General features: G+C 42.6%; 1 pseudogene; it reads right to left on the bottom strand.

Moving 5' to 3' along the window:
• SLC25A51P2 (SLC25A51 pseudogene 2) lies at positions 825-2,580 on the bottom strand (annotated as a pseudogene).

Genomic DNA, 6,963 nt, shown 5'->3' with positions numbered 1-6,963 from the left:
AGGAGAATGGCGTGAACCCGGGAGGCGGAGCTTGCAGTGAGCCGAGATCGCGCCACTGCACTCCAGCCTGGGCGACGGAGGGAGACTCCATCTCAAAAAAAAAAAAAAGAAAAAAAATCCAAAAAAAATTAACCGGGCGTGGTGGTGCATGCCTGTAGTCCCAGCTACTCGGGAGGCTGAGGCAGGAGAATCGTTTGAACCCCGGAGGTGGAGGTTGCAGTGAGCCAAGATCACGCTGCCAGCCTGCGTGACAGAGCAAGACTCGGTCCCAAAAACAAACAAACAACAACAAAAAAATTAAAAAACCTGTTAATACCAAATGTAAGTGAGGATGTGAAGCTACTGGAAATCTTGGAATTTTATATTGTTGATGGGAATATCACTTTGGAAAATACTTCTGCAGCTTCTTAAAGAGTTCATATATACTTACAATGCAATTCAGAAATCCAGCTTCACACAAAGATTTGCACTTGAAATTCAGAACAGGTTTATGCATAAGAGCCAAAAACTGTGGGTCATCTAAACTGATAAATAAATAGAGGTATACTTATACAATGGAAAGCTTCTCAGCTATAAAAAAGAATGGACTACTGACTCTCACATCAGAATGGTTGAATCTCAATAGCATTATGTAAAGTGAAAGAAAAGAAGATAAAGACAAAACACTGTATAATTCCATTTATTTATTTATTTATTTTTCCTATTGGAAACTTTTATTCTGTTTTGTTGATGCTTGAGGAAAACAGCTTTGCCCATAACTCACTGTGGCCTGGAGTCATGACACCAACTTATATTTGGCCAATTAAGAAAGAGGCCAGACTGCATTCTTCTTAGAAGGTCTATTCAGTTAATAAATGGCACTTAACTGATGTTTTTTGCCATATAACTTTAACAGGAACTCATAAGTTGCACTGATTATGCCCCAAGAGATAAGGGACCGGTGGTAATTCAGATGGGCACCTCTGAAAAGATTTATCAGTTTTCTGTCCCGTTCCAGCCAGATTTTTTGGAAAACCTTGGGGAAAGACTGAAATTCCCCACTAGGCTGAGACTGTATGCTAGTTTTCACAACATTAATTAGAAAAAACAAGAATCCCAGCATGGCACCCAACTGACCTCCACAGAGAAAATCATTGACCAAATGAGCACTGTGAGTCGTTGAGGTAGGCAGATGCTCCTTAATGGGACCTCGAAGGCCGAAAAACAAGACATTGTTGAGTCCATTCTGGAAAAGAATGGGCAGCAAGCCTCGATAACGCTCTCCAATTCTATGGCATTTCAGTGCCTTGAAAGCCTGATAAGTGCTGGTAAATTTGTCATGATGCTTGTGGTCTTGAAGCAATGTCTGAACTCTTTGCAGTGGAGTGAAAATTGCTTCTGCTGTCCTTGCAAGCACTGCCACCACGACACGGGTTGCAAACTCTGGAGCACTGACATGCTTGTGGAGAAGGTAGGATAAATCCTCATACAGACCAAACATAAGTGCAAGTGTAATTGTCTTTTGCATCAATTAGGGAAGGATTCCAGGATACAAGTTTCAAAATCCATCCCTTCTCAACTGAAGTATTGCATCCCGGGTTTTGATGCCATACAGCTGTTGTTGAAAGAGGACCTTCTGAATGGGAAATGTGATTTCTACGTGTTGAAGGCTGCACAGCAGCCACACAAGTCATGCTTCATTTCACCAACATTTATAATATGAGGTGATATATCTTGTTTTGAAGAAGTTAGCATTGGTGGCCTCTTTTCATGAGCTTCTGAATCCATCATGTTGCTTAAGATCTTTCTGGGGCTGGGCACAGTGGCTCACGCCTGTAATCACAGCACTTTGGGAGGCTGAGGCCGGTGGATTGCCTGAGGTCAGGAGTTCAAGACCAGTCTGGCCAACAGGGGGAAACCCTGTCTCTATTAAAAATACAAAATTTAGCCAGGCATGGTGGTGCGCGCCTGTAATCCCAGCTACTCGGGAAGCTGAGGAAGGGGAATTGCTTGAACCAGGGAAGTGGAGGTTGCAGTGAGCCGAGATCGCGCCATTGCACTCCAGCCTGGATGACAGAGTGAGACGCCATCTCAGAAAAAAAAAAAGTTTTGCTAGGTGCGGTGGCTCACGCCTGTAATCCCAGCACTTTGGGAGGCTGAGACAGGCGGATCACACAAGGTCAGGAGTTTGAGACCAGCCTGATCAACATGGAGAAACTCCGTCTCTACTAAAAATACAAAATTAGCCGGGCATGGTGGTGCATGCCTGTAATCCCAGCTACTCCAGAGGCTGAGGCAGGAGAATCGCTTGAACCTGGGAGGTGAGCCGAGATTGCGCCATTGCACTCCAGCCTGGGCAAAAGCGAAACTCTGTTTCAAAATAAAGAGATCTTTCTTTTTCATGAAGGACTTTTTTTTTTTAACCTGTAACACCATCTGAGCCTGGAGTTTTGCAGGATGTTAGCTTTTTGATAATGTTCCCAATTTCTTCCATTGTTATTGTTCTGTTAGTTTCTCTCTTCTGGAATCAATTCTGATAACTGGATTTCCCATTGCCAAGGCATCCTGCAGGACGGTGAGTGAGCCAGGGCCCATGCAGGCACCTATAATTCCATCTATATGAAAAATGTAAAAGGGCTAACCTGTAGTGACATAAAGAAAGACAGTGGTTTCCAGAAATAGGTGGCTGGAAACTGATTACAAAAGACAGTAGGCAACTTTTCGAGGGTGAGGAAAATGTTTTCTATCATGAATATGGGGGTGGCTGCAATTGTGTACATTTGTCAAACTTACCAAACTGTAAACTTAAAATTGCTGCAGTTTCTTTTCCATAAAATATACCTCAATAATGCTGATTAGGAAAAGGAGCTTGTATCTGAGCCAATCACTGGCAAACAGAATAGAATTACCTTGACCAACTTCAGTTTATCAAGATTCACTCCCCCGGGGTGAAAAAAAGCTGGTCTTCCCTCAAAACAGCCTGGAAGGAAGATAGGGTTACAATCAGCAGTGTCTTCTGCCCTGGGTCATCTATATGCAGACTTTGGAGAACACAAATGCCCTTATTGAAATGATGGACTCTTCATCTCATAATTAAAATCCAGCCTTTCATAGTAGTAATTACCTATTGAACCAAAACTGTGCAGAATGTTAATGAAAAATAGCCATTCAATTAGAAGTCACATATCAAACAAAACCTCCAGCTCAACAAGCAGGCAACTAAGGAAGAGTAGATTAAGCTACCCTGGAACAACTTGTGACACTGTGACCAACACATATGGTATGTGACCTTCTTTTAACTCTTCTTTTCCTTTGCTCCATGTGGGTTATTTTATTTTCAATCCTTGGCTGCTTAGCTTATCCTTCTGGCTTTGAAGGGAGGTCATTGTTGGCCTAAATCAGAGAGGAAAGGCATATGCTGCTTAGCTCTTGAAATGTTTATTTTTCTCCACTACATATGTTTTGCTTCCTTCTCTAATGTCTGTACTGAAATTTAAGAAGTCTGCCTTACACTGATGGTTCTCACTACAATGGGTCTAGGGTGGTCCCGGCTTCTCCCTAGCATTTTACGTGTGAGTTACAGAGCTATGCATAACTTCTGCTCTGCTACTAGTGATGCATTATTGGTACTTAAGGAATTAAGGCACAGATTAAGATCTGGTATCAGCTCACTTGAAACATCTGATATTTAAGAAACTCAATCTGATAGAAAAATAATCGGTGCATTCTTTTAGATTCTTTAGGTCCTAGATACCTTAGGAATGTAGGTAATCAAAAAACAAACAAGCCTGACCTCATTATCTCAGTCTCTTTTCTTCTTCAAAGCCCTCCCTGAGTTAATAAAGACGTAAAGCTGTGCCCTGGGCTATAAAGAAGGTTAATATGAGAATCTGTTTGAATAGCACTGTGTCTTGGAAACCTGTAACTAAAAGTATTGTCCGTTATGCTGATAATCCACAAATACATTCACTCTTGAAATTATTTAGGCTTCAGTGTTTGTCTCTGCAGATAAATGTCCATGTTTTCTTTCATTAGAACATGAAAACCTTGCAGTCCTTAGTTGTCAGGAAACATAAAAGCGAAACCTACCGCAGAATTATAATGATGAGTGTAGTGTAGATACAACTGAAATATTTGCTTTTGTAAATGGTCTCCGTCAGAGCCCCCGGCAAAGGCTCAGCTCTAGAGACCTGGGCCCTCCAGATAACATGACTCTAGACTCACTTCTTTCTTAAGGCCCCTTCTTGCCCCTAGTAAAGTTCTCATTCCACACCTGGAATTGGTAATGCATTGTCTCAGGACACACTTGGAGGACGTCTGGAGCAGAAGGAAAAGAACCTCCCCATCCTAGCACGGATTAGAGTCTCCTGAATTGGGGTCCTCAAGAGAACCCCAAGCTGCTCCAATAATAAGCTTCCCTGTTTGCCGCAAACTCCATCTGAATGGCTACCCTGTGGAAAGCAGTCCTGATTGTGCTTTGGATGCTGGCGTGGCTTGATCTTGCCTATCCCTGTCTTTCTGGCTCTCCATTTCTTCTCCATGTTCAGCGGGAATTCCTAGACCTGAGTTCTAGCTCTCATGTTTCTCCCAGCACTGTCCTAGCATAGTCTACAAGAATTTCTCTGTGGTCCTCGTTAGCACTATTTTCCTAATATTTCTGGTTCTCCCCCACTTACAGGCACATAATAGGGCCCCACTATCATGGTTTCTTGAGGTTAGGTATGACCAGGTGATTTGCCGTGGACTACGGAATATAAACAGAAACTTTAAGAGCCAGTGTGTGACTTACTTCTTTACTTGCCTCAGTGGGAAGCATATGTTGAAACGAAGCTTCCATCAGCTGGGATCCCCGAGTTACAATAGTGAACGGAGCCCACTGCTAACCCACAATAATCGAGAAAGAGATCTCTGTTGTTTTATGCTTCTGAGGTTTGGGACTTGTTTGTTACCGCAGTATAACCTAGCCTATCCCCATGTTATGTCCTCCCCTGGGTTGGTCTTTAATTTTTCTGTTTTCCCAGTATTGTATAACATTTTCACATCCCGTATTTCATTAGATATTTCAGGACTTAGTTTGAATTTTTTTTTTATTTTACACCTTATTATCCATCATTATTCTTAGCGACATCAACATCCATGTTTACAACCTTTAGCATCTTAGAATCATAGTTCCTGCCCACCTTACCTGTAGAACGTTTCTTCTTCATATCAGCAGTCACTAAATCAAACCTTTTTCCAAATTCCAATCTCCACACCCCTCTGCCTGGATTCATCTTGATTAAGCTACTAGAGGCATTAGGTGCCTGTTTCCTCATTGAAAAACAATGCTAATCAGCCTACCTTATCTCCTAGGGCTGCTGTGGGGATTCAGTGAGACAATGCACAAAAGCCTGGGCCCAGTCTCTGGCACATTACATGTGCTCAGGAGCTGCTTGCTCTAATAATTATTGTCATTATGATGTACTGTCAGCAACTGCTCTCTACCACACTCAATAGACTTACTCTCCATTCTTGATATTTTGTTCTAATTCTCATTTTGTTTTAAATTTCTAATTCTTGATCTATCAGCTTCCTTTGACGATGGAGGACTCCTGTGTTTTAGCTCCATGCATCTGGGCTGTGGCTCCCCCTAAATCACTCATCCCTTAACCTGGAGTTGACTGCAGATGCGTGAAGGAGCTCAGGAGGGCCAACAGAAGAAGCATCCAACTGAGCGCATCTAGCTGGCAACCCACAGAATCATCTTGAGGAAAATAAATGATTGTTGCTCAAAACCATTAAGTTTGGGGTTGGTTTATGATACAGCAAAAATGAAAGCACACTTTTTAGCTCTGCAAACTCAAGCAGGTTAGCCAGCCTCTGTGAATCTCTGTGGTTTTACCCATAAAACGGGAATCATATTTATCTTGCATAAGCTGGGCACAGTGGCTCACGCCTGTAATCCCAGCACTTTGGGAGGTTGTGGTGGGTGGATCACCTGAGGTCGGGAGTTCGTCATGGCCAACATGACGAAACCCCAACTCTACTAAAAATACAAAAAAATTAGCTGGGCATGGTGGCGGAGCCTGTAATCCCAGCTACTTGGGAGGCTGAGGCAGGAGAATCGCTTGAACCCAGGAAGCAGAGGTTGCAGTGAGCTGAGATTGAGCCATTGCATTCCAGCCTGGCAACAAGAGTGAAACTCCGTCTCAAAAAAAAAAAAAAAAAATTGTCTTGCATACGAGGATTAAGCAGCTGGCATAGTAATGGCTCAGCAAAGGGCATGTCAGTTATCTTCTCTAACTTTCTGGCGTCCTCATCATGACCATTATTTCCTCCTTTGTTCTTTCTCCTTCCCCAAATGTCCCTACTCCAGCTCTCACGTTCACTGGGTCAATCATGGATCCCCTTTTCAGGGAAGGTTCCACCATCTTCTAGGAGCCCTCTTGTCTTGCCTTGCTTTCACTTCAGTTCTCCATGACCTTTCTCTGCACAGTCTCAACTTGGTGAGCTCCTGCATATCAGTGACTTTGAGATCATGCAAAGAAGACTCAGTCCTCTGGCCTCAGCCACAATCTCCATCTGTCTTGAATTTCCAGCTGTTTTTCTAACATTGCCATTTGACTATCTGGTAACATCGAAATGACAACAATCAAACTGTGCTCATGATTTCCTCTCCCGTCGGTTCATCTTTCATCTAACCCTTCTTTTTTTCATTCTCAGAAAGAAAATTTTAACTCAACAATTTCCTTGATCGTCTGCATCCAATTAGTCACTAAGTCATGTTTCTTCGTTTGAAATCTCATCTGATTCCTCCTTCTTCATTCTCGCTCCACATTCCTCTTCTGTGTCCCCTACCTCCACCCACATGGCCACTTCCATTTCTCTTCATTCTGCTCTTTCTGTTTACTGCTAGCAGGTAGATTTTCATTAAAAAAAATTAAAAAAAAAAGATTTTTGTCTTGTTCTTGTGCTTAAGAATTGATAATAGGCTGGGTGTGGTGG

The sequence above is a fragment of the Homo sapiens genome, chromosome 18, assembly GCF_000001405.40.
Source record: "Homo sapiens chromosome 18, GRCh38.p14 Primary Assembly".
NCBI classification, from domain to species: Eukaryota; Metazoa; Chordata; class Mammalia; order Primates; family Hominidae; genus Homo; species Homo sapiens.
Note: the sequence above shows the minus strand (reverse complement) of the source record. Positions and strands in the feature narration are given on the sequence as shown.